Here is a 20,710-nt window from a genome sequence, read left to right on the forward strand (position 1 = left end):
GAAAATCACTCAAAACCATACAATTACATGGAAATTAAACAACATGTTTCTGAATGACTTTTGGGTAAATAATGAAATTAAGGCAGATATCAAGAAGTTCTTTGAAAATAATGTGAACAAAGATACAACATACCAGAATCTCTGGGACACAGGTAAGGCAATGATAAGAGGGAAATTCATAGCACTACCTGCCCACATCAAAAAGTTAGAAAAATCTCAAAAAGTTAGAAAGATCTCAAATTAACAACCTAATATCACCACTAAAAGAATTACAGAAGCAATAACAAATCAACCCCAAAGCTAGCAGAAGACAAGACATAACCAAAATTGGAGCTGAATGGAAGAAAATTAAGACACAAAAATAATTCAAAAGATTGATGAATCCAGGATTATTTTTTTGAAAAAATTAGTAAGATAGGCCAACACCTAGACTAATAAAGAAAAAAAGAGAAAAGGTCCAAATAAACACAACTAAAATTTTGAGACCCGGTGTGGTGGCTCATACCTGTAATCCCAGTGCTTTGGGAGACTGAAGCGGGTAGATCACTTGAGGCCAGGAGTTTGAGAGCAGCCTGACAAACGTGGTGAAACCCTCTCTACTAAAAATACAAAAATTAGCTGGGCATGGTGGCACACAACTGTAGTTCCAACTACTCAGGAGGCCGAGGCACAAGAATTGCTTGAACCCAGGAGGCAGAGCCTGCAGTGTGCCAAGATGGTGCCACTGTACACCAGCCTGGATGACAAAGCAAGACTCTGTCTCAAAAAAAAAAAAAAAGAAATGAAAGGAATGCTAACACTGACTGCACAAAAATAAAAATAATCAAATAACCACTAAAAACTACTCTGAACACCTCTATGCACACAAACTAGAAAACCTTGAAAACATGGATAAATTCCTGGACACATATACCCACCCAAGACTAAGCCAGGAAGAAATTGATTGCCTGAACAGACCAGTAACAAGCTCCAAAATTGAACCAGTAACAAATAGCCTACCAACCAAAAAAAGCTCAGGACCTGATGGATTCATAGCTGAATTCTACCAGATGTACAAAGAACTGGTACCATTCCTAGGGAAAGTACCCCCCCAAAAATTGAGAAGGAGTGACTCCTCTTTAGCACATTCTATGAGGCCACCATCATCCTGATACTAAAACCTGGCAGAGCCACAATGACCAAAAAGAAAACTTCAGGCCAATATCCTTGATGAACATCATGCAAAAATCCTCAGCAAAATACTTGCAAACCAAATCCAGCAGCACATCAAAAAGCTAATCCACCATGATCAAATAGTCTTCATTCCTGGGATGCAAGGTTGGTTCTACATATGCAAATCAATAAATGTGATTCATCACATAAACAGAACTAAAGACAAAAATCACATGATTATCTCAATCAATGCAGAAAAAAAGCTCTAGATAAAATTTAACACCCTTTCATGTTAAAAACTCTCAATAAAGTAGGTGTTGAAGGAATATACCTCAAAATAATAAGAGACATCTATGACACATCCACAGCCAATATCACTTTGAACGGGCAAAAGCCGGAAGCTTTTTGCTCTTGAAAACTGGCACAAAACAAGGCTGCCCTCTCTCACCACTCCTATTCAAAATAGTTGTGAAAGTCCTAGCCAGAGCAATCATGAAAGAGAAAGAAGTAAAGAGCATCTAGATAGGAAAAGAAGTCAAACTATCTCTGTTTGCAGATGACATGATGTTATATCCAGAAGCCTCATTCCTTCAGCCCAAAAGCTCCTTTAGCTGATAAACAACTTTAGCAAAGTCTCAGGATACAAAATCAATGTACAAAAATCACTAGAATTCCTATACACCGACAGCAGCCAAAACAAGAGCCAAATCAGAAAAGCATTCCCACTCACAATAGCCACAAAAGGGATAAAATACCTAGGAATACAGCTAACCAGGGAGGTGTAGAATTCTCTACAATGAGAATTACAAAACACTGCTCAAAGACATCAGAGATGACACAAACAAATGAAAAAATATCTCAGGCTCATGGATAGGAAGAATCAACATAATTAAAATGGTCATAATGCCCAAAGCAATTTACAGATTCAATACTATTCATATCAAACTACCAATGACATTCTTCACAAAACTAGGAAAACTATATTAAAATTAATATAGAACCAAAAAACTAAGGCCTGAATAGCCAAGACAATCCTAAGTAAAGAGGAGAAAAGCTGGAGGCATTATGTTACTCAACTTCAAACTATATTACAGGGTTACAGTAACAAAAACAACATGGTACTGGTACAAAAACAGGCAAATAAACCAACAGAACAGAATCAAGAGCCCAGAAATAAGGTTGCACACCTATGACCACCTGATCTTCAACAAAGCTGACAAAAGCAAGCAATGGGGAAACAATTCCCTATTTGATAAATGGTGCTGGGATAACTGGCTAGCCATATGCAGAAAACTGAAGCATCCACTCTTCCTTACACCACCCTTCCTTACACCAGATACAGAAATCAACTCAAAAGGATTAAAGACATAGTGTAAAACCCAAAACTATGAAAACCCATGAAGACAAACTAGGCAATATCATCCTGGACATAGGAATAGGCAAAGATCTCATGACAAAGATGCTAAAAGCAATTGCAACGAAAGCAAACAATGACAAGGGGGATCCAATTTACTTAAGAGCTTCTGCACAACAAAAGAAAACTATGGACAGAGTTAACAGACAACCTACAGACTGGGAGAAAATATTTGCAAACTATGCATCCGACAAAGGTGTGATATTCAGCATTTATAAGGAACATAAACAAATTTCCCAGAGAAAAACAAACAACCCCATTAACAAGTGAGCAAAGAACATGAACAGAAACTTTTCAAAGGAAGACACACATGCATCCAACAAGCATATGAAAAAAACTTCAATATCTATCACTAATCATTAGAGAAATGCACATCAAAACCATAGTGACATACTGTCTCATACCAGTCAGAAAGGCTATTGTTAAAAAGTCAAAAAATAGCAGATGCTGGTGAGAATGCAGAGAAAAAGGAACACTTAGACACATTGGTGGGATGTAAATTAGTTTAACCATTGTGGAAAGCAATATGGTGATTCCTCAAAGAGCTAAAAGCAGAACTGCTATTTAACTCAGTAATCCCAGTACTGGGTATATACCCAGAGGAATATAAACCAGTCTACCATAAAGACACTTGCACATGTAAATGTTCATCGCAGCAATATTCACAATAGCAAAGACATGGAATCAGCCTAAATGCCCATCAATGACAGATTGGATAAAGAAAATGTGGTACATATACACCATGGAGTACCATGCAGCTGTAAAAAAGAATGAGATTATGTCGTTTGCAGGAACATGGCTAGAGCTGGAGGCTATTATCCTCAGCAACTAACGCAGGAACAGAAAACCAAATACTGCATGTTCTTACTTGTAAGTGAAGGCTAAATGATGAGAACTTATTAACACAAAGAGGGAAACAGCAGACACTGGGGTCTGCTTGAGCATGCAGTGTGGGAGGTGGGAGAGGAGTGGAAACAGTAACTGTTGGGTACTGGGCTTAATTCCTGGGTGATTAAATAACCTGTACAACAAGACCCCATGACATGAGTTTACCTTTGTAACAAATCTTCACATGTACCCCTGACCTTACAATAAAAGTTAAAAGAAAAAAAAAAAAGCCAAGTCCCTTAAAAAGTCTCCTAAGCCATTTGGCTGGGGAAACCATTTTCTCCTTAGAGACTAAGCCTGTCTGGAGGGGCGTGAGCTATGTTGGCTGCTTCTCAGGCACGTGCTGCCACGACTTCTTGATTCATTTCTCTTTATCATTCATGAATGAAAAGCATTGGGAACTCACCAGTGCACAAGCACCTTCTTGAAAACTCAGTATGTAGTCTAAGGCGAGCTAGTTTTGTAAAGTCATTTTAGAAGCTCCAATACCTCATGGATTTATGAAACAAAAGCTTATATTAAGTTTGAGATGAACTCTACTAATTATTTTTTAAATTATTATTTCAATAGCTTAAGGGGTACAAATAGTTTTTGGTTATATGAATAAATTGTATAGTGGAGAAGTCTGGGCTTTTACTGTATCTGTCACCAAATAATTTACAGTGTACCCAAGAGGTGATTTTTTTTTATCCCTCTCCCTTCCTCTCTGAGCCTCCAATGTCCATTATGCCCCTCTGTATACCTTGTGTACCCATAGCTTAGCTCCCACTTATATGTAAGAACATGCAGTATTTGGTTTTTCCATTCCTGAGTTACTTCACTTATGGTAATGGCCTCCAGTTCCAAGTTGCTGCAAAAGACATTTGTGTGCGTGTGTGGCTAAGTAGTATTCCTTTTTGTTGTTGTTGTTGAGATGGAGTCTCGCTCTGTTGCCCAGCCTGGAGTGCAGTGGTGTGATCTCAGCTCACTGCGACCTCTACCTCCCGGGTTCAAGCAATTCTCTGCCTCAGCCTCCCGAGGAGCTGGGATTACATGTGCCCGCCACCATGCCCAGCTAATTTTTGTATTTTCAGTAGAGATGGGGTTTCACCATCTTGGCCAGGCTGGTCTTGAACTCCTGACCTCATGATCCACCTGCCTCGGCCTCCCCAACTGCTGGGATTACAGGCGTGAGCCACCTGGCTGGGCCTGTAGTATTCCATTTTTTATATGTACCACATTTTCCTTATCCACTCCTCCGTTGATTGGCACTCAGCTTGATTCCGTATCTCTGCTATCGTGAATTGTGCTGTGATAAACATCCATGTGCAAGTGTTCTTTATATATAATGACTTCTTTTCCTTGGGTAGATACCAGTAGTGGGATTGCTGATTGAATAGTAGATCTACATTTAGTTCCTTGAGAAATCTCCACATCGTTTTTCACAGAGGTTGTACTAATTTTCATTCCCACCAACAGTGTATGAGCATTCTCTTTCACCACATCTGTGCCAACATCTGTTTTTGTTTGTTTGTTTGTTTGTGTTTTAACCTTTTGGCTAGGGTAAGATAATTCTGACTAGATGGTATCTCACTGTGATTTTAATTTGAATTTCCATGATGATTAGTGATGTTGAGCATTTGTTCATATATTTGTTGGCCGTTTCCATATCTTCTTTTGAGAAATATCTGTTCATGTCATTTGCCCACTTTTTAGTAGGATTATGTGTTTTTTTTCTTGCTAATTTGTTGGAGTTCCTTTTAGATTATGGATACTAGTCCTTCGTCAGATGTATCTTACAGCATAGGAGTTGGCTGACCTGGTGACAAAGGGTAGAATATCAAGAACAGAGCACCCTGTAAGTTTGGCCTGAGCAAGTGGCTCTCCCCGGACCTGTTTAAGGCTGTTTGTCATCCAGCCATTATCCATTCACAAGTTTCAGGCTCAGCAATTGTAGGAGCACTCATGTTTCTAATTTTTCCATTGGGAAATTTTTCATACATTTCCATTTGAGGGACAGCATAAGCCACATCGCAGCAGCCAGCCCAATGGGCTGGAAGTACTTTGTATGGTTTTATGACCACATACTAAATAATGTCCCTTGAGGGCATACTAGTGTTGGTTATTGCCTCTAGTGGTTGTAACAGAGGCTAGAGGAGCTAACCTGGAATAGACTCCAAAGAGACAGTTACAAACATCATCTTCTAAATGGCTGGGTACTTTGGTACCATTTAGCCAGCAATTTTTTGCCCAGTCTTTCAGTTCACCAAAATATTGATCCGGGGTAAAATAATTTCCTATGATACTGGTATTGCGTGGGTATTGCAGACAATGCTGTCCTTAATGGGAGTTTGGCTCTTACAAAGAATGTCTGTTTCTTGAAAATAGGTTTCATCTTTTCACAAGGACACAGAGCATTTACTGTGTTCCACAGGGTGACTATATTTATTAGACTGATTTCTAGTAAAACACCACGTTTCTTAGGTTAAAGAGGCCACATCATACTCCCAGTCACAAGGGCTTTTAAGAAATAACCCAATATCTTTCTAAAAGGGAGACCTAAATGGCTGTATATTTGTAATGTTTTCTGCCAAGGCCATCTAAAGCATAAGGGAGACAATTATTAAGGGAATACGAGTTTTAGGATAGAGTGGGAATGGGCATAGACCCGGCAATTACTTTGGTTAATTTCATTGGCTACTTTGTCAGCTAAGAGACCGAGGGAATTACGGTCATGAGAGGAAAGCACGGGATAGGGTAAGATAAGGAGGAAACAGAGGGGAATCATGACAGGGCTGCTGAGGCTGGAGATGGAGTATATATGTTGTAAGTAGGACACATCACTAGGATAAAGATGGGACGTTGTAGAGGACACAGGAGTAGTAGCAGAATGCGTAGACCCAAAATTGAAGTCAGAGACAAAGAAGGGGAATCGGAGTGAATCTTGTTTCAGGATCTTTGGCAGAAGCGGACTGCTTCATCATATCATTTACTTGCTCCGTAGTTCTTAGGATGGATGTCTGTCTCCAGCTCTTGGCTACTTTTAGAGGTTCTTTTCTTTTCTTTCCTTTCCTTTTCTTTTTTTTTTTTTTTTTTTTTTTGAGACCGAGTCTTGCTCTGTCACCCAGGCTGAAGTGCAGTGGTGCAATCTCTGCTCGCTGCAAAGTTTGGAGGTTCTTTTTTTTTTTTTTCTTTTCTTTTTGAGATTGAGTCTTGCTCTGTTCCCAAGGCTGGAGTGCAGTGGCTCAATCTCGGCTCACTGCAAGCTCTGCCTCCCGGGTTCACGCCATTCTCCTGCCTCAGCCTCCCGAGTAGCTGGGACTACAGGAGCCCGCCAATTAGCGCCCGGCTAATTTTTTTGTATTTTTAGTAGAGACGGGGTTTCACCTGATGGTCTCTATCTGCTGACCTCGTGATCCGCCCGCCTCGGCCTCCGAAAGTGCTGGGATTACAGGCGTGAGCCACCGCGCCTGGCCTGGAGGTTGTTCATAGAGTCTCAGCGTGAGTCTCTGGTTAGAGTGCCTTCCAATTGAAATAGATTTTGTATTTTTTCAACTAAAAGACATGCACCCAAGTTCAAACACTCTGTAATTTGTTAGCAGTGTTAGCAATGAGTGAAACAATAAAAGGTCCCCTCCCTCTGGGTTCAAGGTTAGTTTTCTGATGTTGGTGTTTTTTCAAAATGCCAGATCACTTACTTATGAAGCAAGTAAGGACTGATCAGGGAGTTTAAAGATACAAGAAGCCTCAATTGTGGAGTATAGTGGGGCTGTGTGTATTTAATTAATCCCTGACAATATCTGAGGTTGTTGAACTGAGTTAGTTTGGAATCTTCGGCTAGTTTGCATTAGTAGGTTATTCTCATGGGTATCCCGTAATGATTCAAAGAGGATCGTTTGTGTGAAGGTAGGGCCAAGGATCTGAGAGTCAGTGTGATGGGTAATATCTGTGGCCATGGCAAGTTCTTTCTTCAGACAGTTTAGCCAGTTCAGCTTGAGGATGCTGTTGGCTCTTTGTATAGAACTTTATCACTGAGGATGGTAAGTCCAGTGGAATATTTGGCTGGTGTGTGTAACCTTTCCTATTTCCTGAATAATTTTGCCAGTGAAATGTGATCCTCTGTCACTAGAGGCAGTAGAGGGGATAACCCATGTGGGGAAGATTCACTCTTAATAAACCTTGGCAACCGATGTCCTTGAGGAGTTTCAACAGGGAAAGCCTCCCATTCTATTTTCCAGTGAAGGAAGCCTATTTTCCAGTGAAGGAAGGATGTAGAGGGAGCCACTTCCCTTTTTTGCCCCACCTTTATGCTTTTTGGAGGATTATGTTGTTGGTAGATGCAGCAAATGGCAACAGCTTGGTCCAAATAAAATCTAAAGAGTCCAAGCCATATTGTTTTGTTTAATATATACTACATGTTATCCTTTCTGTGGTAAATCTGGATGAGCAAATTGTACACAATGACTTGGGAGACAGACTTAGGAGTTATCAAATGGCCATCTGGGTATTTCTGAAGTCCACTTAAGTGGGTCAAACATTCACCTTTTTCTCATCCAATTCTTTCTGACTCTGAAATTGTTATCTGGGCTGTGTGAATTTTACATTTCCTTTAGAGGCATTGTAAAGACATTGCTTCTGTCAATTTATTTAAAGAGGGTAAATAATCCTAGCAGGACTGTGGGTATTTGAAATGAAGCCCAGGTATCTAGTCACAAGGTTTGGAGACTTCCTGGATTTCTTAGGCGGCCAAGGAAGAGGATGCTAGCTTAGCACCTTTATCAGCCAATTTATTTCCCTGAGCCTCATCTGAGTATTTTATACTATATCCCTCAGCTTTAACTGTAACAACTAGCTGGGGCAATAGCAATGACTCTAGAAGTTCTGCTATTTGGGGTTTACTTTTGACTGGGGACAAGTTGCTGTCATGAATCCTCTCTGTTTTCAAAACATACCAAAATCATGCACTACACCAAAGACCCAGTGTCTGTCACTGTAGGTGCTAATCTTAATTCCCTCTGCCTTATATAAGCCTGAATGAGAACAGTTAATTTAGCCACTTTGGCTGATTTAACGTGTGGCAAAGCTTGGCATTCAAGAGTTTTGTGTAGATGAGTGATGGCATATCCAGGCTGGAAGGTCCCAACCTCCTTCCAGAAGTAGGAGCGATTGACATAGAGCATCAGGTCGACTTAGGAGAGAAGGGTTTCTGACATATCTAACCTAAATGAGACAGTGATCTGGTTTCAGTAGCACCATTGTGTGTGTGTGCTGAGGGGTTCCCTTAGTGGACAAAATGTACAGGGTAGCAAGGGATTTTTGGCAGCAAAGGATTGTGATTGGGTGGGGAGGCATAGTAATATTTCATGAGAAGTAAGTCGAGAAGCAAACGAGTGCTGTGTGTTTTCATTAAGTAATAGGGTCAACACAGCATGGGAACATACACATCAAGTGGGCGGCCTAACACTAAATCAGAAGTAGCCTGGATGAGTTGGAAGTCATGGCCACTGTTTGTAGGCCAGGAGGATATGCTTCAGCACTGGCTGGTTTTGTGGGAAAACAGAGAGAAAGACATGGCTGAGTCTCATGGTGCTCAGAGAAGGCCACAGCCTTGGGGTGCCGTGGTGACCACAAACACTTCCCCCATCCCATACCAATCTTTAAGAGCCTTTTCCTTCTTAAAGACCTGTCACTTAGCAAAGAGCTTTCAATGAACCCTCCCCTCTGGGCCACTTGTTGGATTGCAGCCAATCAGTGATGGAGGGCTGGACACAACTGTGGGATGCTGTGATTTGGTTTAGCCCTTGGGTCTAGAGTGCTCTGGGGTCCACTGTACTTCTGGGATAAAACGCCAAGGCCACGACTCTCTTGCTCATTTACAAACAAAAAATTGAGGGCTAGCTAAACAAGGACAGAGTGGAAGCAGCTTTCTGTAAGACACACCCACCAGTGTGCCCTGTCAGTTTACCATTGCCATGGCAACACTCAGGCATTACCACCCCTTTCAGCAGCAATGACCTGATGACCCAAAAGTTACCACCCTTTTCCTAGCAATTTCTGCACAAACCACCCCTGAATCTACATGTAATTAAAAGTAGGTATACATATGACAGCAAAACTGGGCTCAGCTGCTACTCTCGGCACCCTGCCTATGGGGCAACCCTGGGAGCAGTCACTGAGCTGTGACCCTGCAGGAGCTGTAACAGTGCTGCTTTGATAAAGGTGTTTTCTTCCACCTTACCACTGGCTCGCCCTTGAATCCTTTCCTGGGTGAAGCCAAGAACCCTTGCAGGCTAAGCACCACTTTGGGGTTCGCCTACCTTGCATCAGCATCAGGTTTTTTTTTTAAACTTGTAAAATAGTTTTTGTGACTCTGTCATGTATTTTGCAGTCATGAACTAATATTTTTTCCCTCAATTGTCAGTTGCAGTTTCCTCAAAGATCATTATAAATACTCCTTAACCTACAAAGTTTGGCAGTCACAGCCTACTCTTTGAGGAACAGCCTGACTCACCATCAAGTGGCTCCTCAGGTGGTTTTACTTCCCATGTTTCCCATGTGAGGTACTAAGCCTCAGTGATTCCTGGCAAAACTTGTATTCTCTGTTAGTATTGCGCTAACTTTGGAGTGAGTTTCTTTTGGTGAGTAATAATTTTAGTCAATGATACTACTGATTATTTTATCTTTTTTTAGGCTTATGATGAATACCTGATTTATGATTAGTATGTTTTTCACTTTTACACATTTCAAGGAAGGAAACAAGAACAGACAGAAACACAACATACTTCATGAAACCACATTTTAGCATCCTGGCCGAGTATTCATCACTCAGCAAGATAGAGAGACATAAACTATTTCTAGCAAGAATACTTCATAAATGATGAATAGAAGAAAAATAGAAGTCCTAAAAATCTTGCAGAACTGTCTTAATTTACTAATATATTTACACTGTATCCTAAGTCACTCTCTAGCTTCTTGCTCTAAGCATATGAAATGTAAGAGCTAATGGGAACCCCAGTGCCTGTATAAATAACAAGAACCAGCATGTCTTTATTTATGGCAGGGAATACTCTACAACCTGGGACAGATGCCACTCTGCTTCAGTTTGGGGAAGCTCCTCACTTTACCATCCTGACGTTGAATAAATGATTCAAAGGCAACCTGATGCAACCTGAGCCACTGGATGGCTTCTGTAAATAAAGTTATCTCACCTGGCATTCATTACAGAGAAAACAAGAAATAAGGCACTACATGTCATATTTGTCTAGATCCTATACATATTTAGGTTCACATTAAAATGAAGAGAAAACAACATAGGCTGAGAATCAGAAAACCTGAACTCTGTCCCAGCTCAGCTACTGACCAAAGAGAATTAATGAATCGCTTTAAATGTCAGTTTCTTCATTAAGCATCGTAGAGAATGTCAAAACCAAGTTTACAAATACTGTCATTCCAAAACCACACAACTCAAATATAAATAATCTTTATAAGGTAACAAAAATGTACATAATACTTTACATAAACATTTTTAGAATAACTTTATTATAACTCGATAAGCAAAATAATCCAAACCTTTATACATTTCTACAAGGATAGTCATGTATGTCAATTTTTGGGTTTCCTCTCGTGCCTATTTTGTCTCCTGAGCCAGCCCCTTTCCAGCTGACACATGTGCTCCGTGTTCTCCCACAATAGCCTGATCTGGCCTGAGTCCACGCCCCTGTGAGCCTCCTTTCTTTGCTTACAACAGCAGCCTGCCTGATGTCAGTTATGGACTATTCTTTTTTTCAGCCTCGTTTCAGGGTCCCCTGCCTCTTAGAGCTGCTGCTGTAGCTTAGCTAGAGACCCGCTGCTGTTGCATCATGGAAAAGTGCCACATATGTGCACATGTGAAAGAATACGCAGACCTTCATGTTGTGTTTTAGTTTTAGAAAAAGTCAGAAGTAGCTTCACTTGATTTCAGCTTGTAAAGACATAGGAGGGAGGCAACTGGGAATCACCGTTGCAAAAAGCAAACATCAAAAATCACATTAAAATGCTGAAGTGTTGTGGAGCACAAACCTAGCTTTATTGGATCAAGCATTTGTGAGAGTTCTTCTACTTGCTTTGTTATGCTTTCTATCAGACAGGGCTCATTCTCTGTCTTTTTTTTTAACATATTCATTTTTTTCCTTTGGTCTGTTTAGATTATTATCACATCTTATGTTTTAAAACTAGCAAAATATTATGTGTAAGTCATGAAGACAGTGTAAGAAATAATAAAATGAACACTGATGTACACATTACCTGCCTAAGAATAAAAAACTACCCGTATTTTTAGAGTCCTTAACACTGTCCTGTTAATGAGTCCCATTTCTTATCTTTATAATTTTGCCAAAATAAATGCATTAGTAAAGGACATTGAGCATTATTGTTTCACATATTTTTCAGTTTAAACAAATGGAATCACACTGAATATATTTTTCTGAAATTGCTTTTTGGTTCAATATTTAATTTGTAAAATTCATTCTTATGATATGTTTGTCTGTACTTTCTGTGCATTGATTTAGAGTATTCCATCACAGGATAATACTATAATGAGCATTCCATTTTATTAGATTGGGGTTATCCATTTTTTTCTATTACAAAACTAGATGTCCTTTTCTTGTATGAGTCTCCTGGACATAAAAGGTAGATTTTCTCTAAGGTAAAAACCCAACATTCAAATAATTGTGTCAAAAGATTTGTATACTGTTGGTTTTACTACGTTAAAATGAACTGTTTTCCAATTTATGCTCCCATGAGAAGTTAAAGGTTCTGGTAGATCTATATTCTCAACAATACTTAATAGTATCAAACGTTTTAACGTTAGTCAACTTGGTTTCTCATTTGAATTGTAATCTGCATTTTTTAGAAGTACTGAATCAAGGTAAGAATCAAGTAATGAAAAACTATTATTTTAGTAAATAAAAATGCTGTAAAGACAATAAAGCAAATGAATGTAATCAAAAGTGGAGACGGGCTACTTCATTCTGATAGTCAAAGATGGCCTTGCTGGTCATCTGAGTTGAGAGGTGGCTAGTAAGACGAGAAGAGATGTTAAGTAGCTGTGGAAGGGGCCTGCTGGCACAGGGCATGCTCCAAAGCCCTGAAAAGAGGCAAACATTCTTTCCCTCTAAATACCTGAACTAAGTAAAAACAGTCCTGGCTTTGCACATTTGAATATGCACAGGTTTAATTAACATAGTTTAGTTAAATAGCACTAGTCTCCCAACAACCTGGTTACAATTTCGGTTACCACCATATGCTAACTGTGAGCAACTGCATAAAATCCAAACTTCATTCCCAGCTCTTAATTCCACAAATGCCTGTGTGAGTAAATAACAGACAAGCATCATGATCAGGGACTGTATTAATCTTGTGGGGATGCTGCAACAAAGTACAAAAAACCGGGTTGCTTAAAACAACAGAAATGTATTGACTCGTAGTTGTGGAGGCTAGAAGTCAAAAAGCAATGTGTTGGTAGGTTCATGCTCTCTGCTGGCTCTAGGGGAGAATCCTTCTTCCCCTCTCCTTCCTGTTTGGGTTTGCCAGCCATCCTTGGTGTTGTTTGACCTACAGATATGTCACTGCATTTTCTCAGTGTGTCTTCACATCGTCTTTTGTGTGTGTGTGTCTGGAGCTGTATCCAAATTCTCCTTCACTATAAGACACCAGTTAGTCTATTGGATTAGGACCCACCCTAATGACCTCATTTTAACTTGAGAACCTCTGTAAATGTGCTATTTCCAAATAAGCTGATATTATTTGGAGATATTGGGGATTAGGATTTCAAACATATCTTTTTTGGGGAACACAATTCACTTCCTTCAAAGCCTGCCAGTGACTGATCAATGTGCATCAGCTAGTTCGCACACAGACAGCAAAGTCTGCAATCGTGTTGATTCCTTGTCTCCCAGTGAGAAACCCATGTGACATTTATAAATATGAATAATCAGAAGAAAAAACTTGTCAACAACCATTGATGTGCAGCAAAGAAATAAAAAATGTGATAACCCTGGAAGTGGATTCAAATACAATGTAAATGGAATCATAGAATTGGCTCACCACAGGAAACGCGGCAAGAGGAACTCGGCGCAACGCAGTGTTCTGACATAAATGAGGAACGCAGCTGTGATTAAAAGGATGAAGAAGCCCCAGAGGAAGTGATGCCGGCAAAGACAGCAACAAACTTCATATTAAAGGAACTCTTGTAGATATTGCATGACGTTGACAATGTTAGATGCTGTTCCAAAAACAGCACGACAGTTCACCAAGGCATAGAAACACTGCTGGCTCCTTATCATAAGCTATACGACAAGAGGGAGGCAAGCACTTTTCAAACTGGGCTTGATACACGTCTATAAATAAATAAAGCACTTTAATTGGCTGTTGTTTAATGTTTTAAATTACAGTGTATAAACTAAGTACTGGCCAGGCGTGATGGCTCACTCCTGTAATCCCAGCACTTTGCAAGGCCAAGGTGGACAGATCATGAGGTCAGGAGATCAAGACGATCCTGGGTAACACGGTGAAACCCCACCTTTACTAAAAATACAAAAAATCAGCCAGGCGTAGTGTCACGTGCCTATAGTCCCAGCCACTTGGGACGCTGAGGCAGGAGAATAGCTTGAACCCAGGAGGTGGAGGTTGCAGTGAGCTGAGATCACGCCACTGCATTCCAGCCTGGGCGACAGAGCAAGATTCCATCTCAAAAAAAAAAAAGTACTAACTTCACTATGTTTCATTTCCTTATACATTTATAACCAACAGTAAGAGATTTTTAATGTTTTGGCCAAAATTTTTAAATGACACAGAACAGTCGATGTTTCACATGGATTGTTTAGGTCACTTTACAGATCTTCAGCTTGCATAGTGATTTGTATGGCCCTGCACTGCTGTGCAAAGAGAGGACTGTTTGTGTTCTTAACCAGTAAGAAGGAGGGCAAGAAAGAGGTTCTCAGCCAGATATTGCATATGTAATAAAATGATGGGAGAGGGAATAACACTTTAGATATGAAATGTACCATGTGGGGAAGCTATTTGAACAACAACAAAATAGCTTAATTTAACCCGATGGAGTACACTCAGCCACCTTCTAGATGTCCCTGCTTATTCTTCAAATCTTCTCTTTTGTGGCCCCAAAGAATGATTCACTCTCTGGAGTGAAAAATAACCGTTGCTTTCTTTGCCTGGAACTTTAAACTGACTTGTGCTGTATCATCCAAACCTACTCAATCCTCTCTTCTCCATTAATCAGTGAGGTCCAAAGGAGCCAAAGACAAATCTCTCCTGTTTTTCTTAGAAATGTAAAGATGTTGCATCTGTAACCACAGGCTGCTTTTAATCCTAAAAGTCAGCGTGATAATGAAATCCAGTGATTAATTTCTGTCTTCTAATCAATAAGTAGACATATCAATTTATAGTATGTTAGAAAGCCTCAACTTCACTGAAACAAAAAGCAAGAGGCTCTGCAAATGTTGGAGTGTGCTAAAGGAAAAGCATGGACTGATGTTTGGGGAAAGGTTGGTCAATGTGATGAGGCCATCTGTGTTTGCTAATAGTGCTTATCAAAATTAGGTTCCTACGCAGAGACAGAGACCAGGAGACAATCCTGTATCCTTCTTGATCCTTATAGTCCAAAGGGATGGCTCCCAAGTCTTTCAGAAAGACATTTCCATGTTGTAGGAGATTTAAAGGGGCAGAGAAAGGGTTTATAACTGCAGGTTATCTGTCTTTTTTTTTTTTTTTTTCCAGACAGAATCTCACTCTGAGCACAATCTCGGCTCACTGCAACCTCCGCCTCCCAGGTTCAAGAGATTCTCCTGCCTCAGCTTGCTGAGTAGCTGGGATTGCGTGTGTGTGCCATGACGCCCAGCTAATTTTTCTCTTTTTAGTAGAGACAGGGTTTCACCATGTTGGCCAAAATGTTCTCGATCTCTTGACCTCGTGATCTGCCCTCCTCGGCCTCCAAAAGTGCTGGGATAACAGGTGTGAGCCACCACGCCTGGCCATTGCAGGTTTTCTAAAGTTAAACCTCTTAGAAATGGGAGGTCAGGGACCTATAGTCAAGTTTTGGGTGGGACAAACAGTAAATTCTTTTGGCAGAATTGAATGTTCCCAGGCAGGTGCTTTAGAGGGGTATGGGGCATCGTAGGGACGTGGCTCGGAGCTGATAGACACTGTGTTGGAATTTGGCCAAGTCTCTTAGTGTATGTATGAGGAGGAGGGATGTGCAGAAGAAGTTGTCTGTGCCAAGAATTTATGGTTTTCACAGGTTAAGACAGTGGTGCCTGGGATCATCTGCAAGGCATGAGTCAAATGTTGACACAATGATTGTTTGCAGACTCATCTGAGGGCTTAGGCAGATCTGGACCTGTTGATACTGAAGTTTCTGAAGGTAGAGGAAGAAAACATAATGTCTCAATAATATCTGAAGTAGGGGTAGGAAAACAGAGATTTAAGGAGGTGAGATCCCTTAAGGCCTCAGAAAGAAGCTTCACTTCTTGCGCCTCCCTTCAGAGTAAATGGGTCATTAAATTAGTTTTTGTAACCAACCTGGGAATGATGGTGAAGAAGGGAATAATGAGAGGAAAAACTTTAAATAAGAATGCCTGAGAGATAATACTAGGTCAGTGGGAGAGAAAGAAATTTCCAAGAAGTTGTCATGGGAAAGGGCTCACGAATAATAAATAAAAAATTAGTTATTAATAATATAAATTAATATATGAAAAATAAATAAGACATCTGCCAACAGCCACACTTACAGCACTAGATGGATTTTAACTGAATTAAAACTTGAGTTTTTAATGAATTTTCTACAATCCAAAATTTATTTGTTTAATTTTTGTAACAAAACACCATTTCTTTACTTTTTGCAAAAGTAAAAGTAAAGTGCTATTTGTACTTTTTAAATAAAAACTAATTTTAAAGAAAAAAATAATTAGCTGGACGTGGTGGCAGGAGCCTGTAATCCCAGCTACTGGGGAGGCTGAGGCAGGAGAATTGCGGAGGTTGCAGTGAGCCCAGATGGCCCCACTTCATCCAGCCTGGGTGACAGAGTGAGACTCTGTCTCAAGCTTCTTCAGTACTCACATGTAAACTTCTACTTTCCCCTTCAGATTACAGCAACCATCATGCCAAAGCTATACACTCTCAGGGAATCCCTGTGGATTTCACTGATGACCACTTGACCAACTATTATAAAAATCAAGGCCAGGGGTTCTCAAACTCTCAACATTTGTGTGCTCATCTCCCCTTCACCCAGAGACTCCCCAGGGCTGCTGGGCCACGCTTTGTTTGGTTTGACTGGAACATAGCTCAAAAGGGATGGAAATTTCCAAGAGGTGTTAAGAGACACATAAATATTTCAAAGATTAAAATGAAAGAAATAAAGAAATGGGCATTTGTGAGCTTTGGTCATGAGAATGCAGGCCTCGCAGTACTTAGCTACTTCCAAACCCCTGTCCAAAGAGAGGACCAAACGCTAGTGAGGCTTCCGGCAGCACAAGGGTGTCCCGCGGATGACCCCAGCCCTCTTAAAATGACTGCCTGAAAAAGCTCACTTGCAAAGAAAATTTACTGTTTGTTTCAGGCAAAACCTGGTGATGGGCAGGTAGAGCCCCGAATCCCCTCTTAGAACCTTAGAAAGCTTGCAATTATAAATTTTTCTCCACCTTTGAAGTGTAAATCTACATTCCAGAATTGTCTCCTCAAAGACCTGAGAGTTCTCTCTTTGAAATGCAAACATTCAGGAAGCTAACTCTTGCTCTTGTTGCCAGTTCCTGAGGGAGGGGAAAGGCCTAGCTTTGGCGAGCACCTTGCTCCAGCTTGCACCTCTGACTCTTTTATTGCCATGAAAATCAACATGTAGACTTTTTTCAAACCCAATGACAGCCCATTACAATGGAGGCCATAGCAATGGAGGTCTCTACATGCAAAAAAAATGGTGGGACAGTTTCCTGATAACAGGTCAACTTTATTCCAAGGATAAGCATGTCATGAAATTATTGGATGGCAGATTATGCTTATCTATGGTCTTCCTTTTTCTCCTTGGTCTCATCCCAATAACTTACAGATCCTTTAAAGGCAAAGGCCAAATATTCAGCTAAGTTAGGCATACTTTAGATGCCAATATCAATTTTAGCTATATGGGAGATCCTACTTAAGATATTGAGGACGATCATGTGTGTACAGGGCAAAAAAGATGGGACAAAGAGATAAGAAGGGGATGGGAAATCACACCCTCCCTCCGCACCACAGACCATGACCTGGGGCAGGTCCTGTAACACCAAGCCCACCCAGGCCCCATCTAACAGTATGCCGCATTCTACATGACCTCAGAGTTCTTTCGGAATTCCAGCTGAAAAGCTGAAAAGCAATACTATATAGTTGTGGTTTCCAGCTGGCCCATGTTAGTATGTATGGCTTTTCTTCCTCGCCATGAAAGCACTATGGGAGAACGAAGCCCGATGCTGGGCATGCTTTGCCAGGTGGGTGCTGCTGAATCACAGACCTCAGCAACTGTGTTCCGCCTCCACAGAGGCCGGAGATGTTTGTTTCCCCAGTGTGTTCGTATATTTCAGCCAGTTTCATGCACTTTGCCCTCTCAGTTTGCTTCACTTTCTGGCTCAGTGAACCTGACCTGCAAGTCTCCCTGCAGTTTCCCTCAGCAAGTGCTCACTGGGCAGCCCCAACATGTGAGAAACGGCTGTAGGGTGCACAGAGGTGAACTAAATTACTAAAAACTATTACTTTACTAAAATGCTTCCTGGATTCCAAAACTCACCAACTGGGAGAAAGGTCAGACACACACGGAGACAACTCATCTACACAAATGATCATCAGTGATTTAAAGAAGGTACAGCAGAGCGAGACTCCGTCTCAAAAAAAAAAGAAAAAGAACGTACAGGAGATCATGGAATAAGAACAAGAAGAGATTACTTTCCAGGGCTCTCAGAAAGTTTCTAAAAAGAGGTGCCATTGACCCTGACCTTAGCATTGTGATGGAGACATTACAGAGCTGGTAGGAAGGAGAAGAAGAAGGAACGGCTGGAACACACTTGGGGTGAAATGAGCGGCATTTCAGTGTGGGAGCTGCAGACTCAGTTTTGGTGGAAGAGTTAAGAGCCAGGATCTTGTCAGGAATAATTCTGTGTCCAAGTGCAGAATCGTGGTTTGCTCCACTACTGCCAGTAACTCCATTTCTCAATCATGATGGTGATGCTTTTTTTTTTTTTTGGCTCCCAATCCCGGAGAGTGGCCATACTGAAGTCATATTACAACAATTAACTTTTCAACTATTAGATGATTAATTTTTACCAAGTAGCAAGAACAGCTGTTTGGCACGTAGCAGTGTGGCATGAGTATCTTGTAAATGAATTAAACAAAATATCTCTCCAACACACACACAGTCATTCTTGCTGCATGTCAGCCTCCACTTCTCCCTCCATTATTTGATGCTGTGAAGCTGAGGCAGCCAGCTTGAGCGAAAGCTTTCAGATCTCACTCCAACAAAGAGCTTTGATTGATTCATTTAGTATAAGGTGTTTTATCTGGCTAGAGAAATCCAAGCTGAGTTTTATTAATTACTAAGAAAAGTATGCAATAGATTAATCTTTGATCAAAACTATGTGTGAAGTAGAAACATATTACACATATGGAGAGCAGTTTTATGGAATAAAAACAATCTATGTGTGGCATAACTGACATTGTCTTTATATTTTTGGGGGGGTGTGTGAGGACGGAGTCTCACTCTGTCGCCAGGCTGGAGTGCAGTGGCACAATCTTGGCTCACTGCAATCTCCACCTCCTTGGTTCAAGCAATTCTCCTGCTGCAGCCTCCTGAGTAGCTGGGATTACAGGTGCCTGCTGCCATGCCCAGCTAATTTTTGTATTTTTAGTAGAGACGGAGTTTCACCATGTTGTCGAGGATGGTTTCAATCTCCTGAATTCATGATCCTCCTGCCTCGGCCTCTCAAACTGCTGGGATTACAGGCGTGAACCACCTTGCCTGGCCTATAAATAATTTTTAAAACAGATACAGAATATATAGATAGCTTAACAATTATAAAATTGTATTTATCAAGTAGGTCACGAGGTAAACATTTTACGCTATGCAAAAGGGAGCAAACCTCTGAATTTGTCATGCAGGGTCACTAGTGGAACTCACAGCAACAGGTCTGATAAAGCAGAGGAGGGAACCGGGCTTCCGTGTGCTTTAGAGAGAGTGAAACATGAGGAGTCACAGGCAGAGAAAACTGTTTTTCAGAAAGAAAAGAAAGGGGACATGACAGCCCAGCAGTAGGGTGAAGAGGGCCTCTCCGTGGGTGCCGCTGGCTTGAGCTGCTGTAAGTGGCTGTGCCGGGAACAGAGGATCTGTATAGGAGAATGGGGAAGGGAGTGCTGGAACCGGGGGTGGGCAGGAGCAGCAGTCTGGAGACCAGAATGACCTAGGGTTTCCTCTCATGCTCCCATTCCCAGTGTTTCACGTGTGTAAAGTAGCAAGCATGCATATACTGCTTAGAGGCATCTACACTTAACATACTACACTCATATACAACACTTGCATCGTACAAAGTACACATAGTAGGTGTGGCATGTAATAAGTTACCCTCCTATATTTTCTTCTAAAAGATTTTTAAATATTTGCATCTCAAATTTAAGTCCTTTGTCCATTTAGATCTGGCCTTTGTGTGATAGCGATCCATTTTTGGGATAGAGATCCATTCTGATATTTTCCCATATGGATACCAACTGCTCATACCATGGATTATATAGACCCTTTCTGACTGTTCTGTAATGTTAGCCAGGGCATACATCAAGATTTCACACAAGCATACACTTTCACAATAGCAATTCCTGCTGTGGTAATTATAACTTCACAGTAAATCTGGTACGTGATAGACTCACATAAGCTCCACCTCCCACCTTCACACACTTTAGTCTTCTATGGGATTGTCTTAGTTATACTGGGCCCTTTTATCTTCCGTATAAGCTTTGGAAGCAGTTTAGTGACAATGGTACTCTTGTCTTTTTCTTGATTTTAAAAGGAGTGATTTCGATATTTTTAATCACAAAACATGATAGGTGCTGTAGGTTATTTGTTGACTCCTTTTATCAGGTTAAGGAAATTACCCTTTATTCATAGGTGGAAATATCATGAATTATTTAATTTTTGTAAAATAATTTTATAGGCCTTTTGAGACAATCATATAACTTTTGTCTTTAATTCATTGATAAGGAGATGATTTCAGTAGATTT

The 20,710-nt window shown here is 40.7% G+C and overlaps 1 pseudogene across 1 annotated transcript in view, besides 1 other annotated feature; it reads right to left on the reverse strand.

Moving 5' to 3' along the window:
* Nucleotides 1-20,710, reverse strand: part of FGF7P3 (fibroblast growth factor 7 pseudogene 3) — a 60,783-nt pseudogene that overhangs the window by 22,504 nt on the left and 17,569 nt on the right. The gene's annotated exons all lie outside the window — the stretch shown is intronic.
* Nucleotides 16,456-17,442: an enhancer, noted in NCBI's record as "OCT4-NANOG hESC enhancer chr9:41997761-41998747 (GRCh37/hg19 assembly coordinates)". NCBI's record gives its function as "activates a minimal SCP1, AML or CMV promoter by ChIP-STARR-seq in primed H9 embryonic stem cells {active_cell/tissue: H9 hESC(primed)}" and the evidence as "EXISTENCE:reporter gene assay evidence [ECO:0000049][PMID:30033119]".

Source organism: Homo sapiens, chromosome 9, assembly GCF_000001405.40.
Source record: "Homo sapiens chromosome 9, GRCh38.p14 Primary Assembly".
Lineage (NCBI taxonomy): Eukaryota > Metazoa > Chordata > Mammalia > Primates > Hominidae > Homo > Homo sapiens.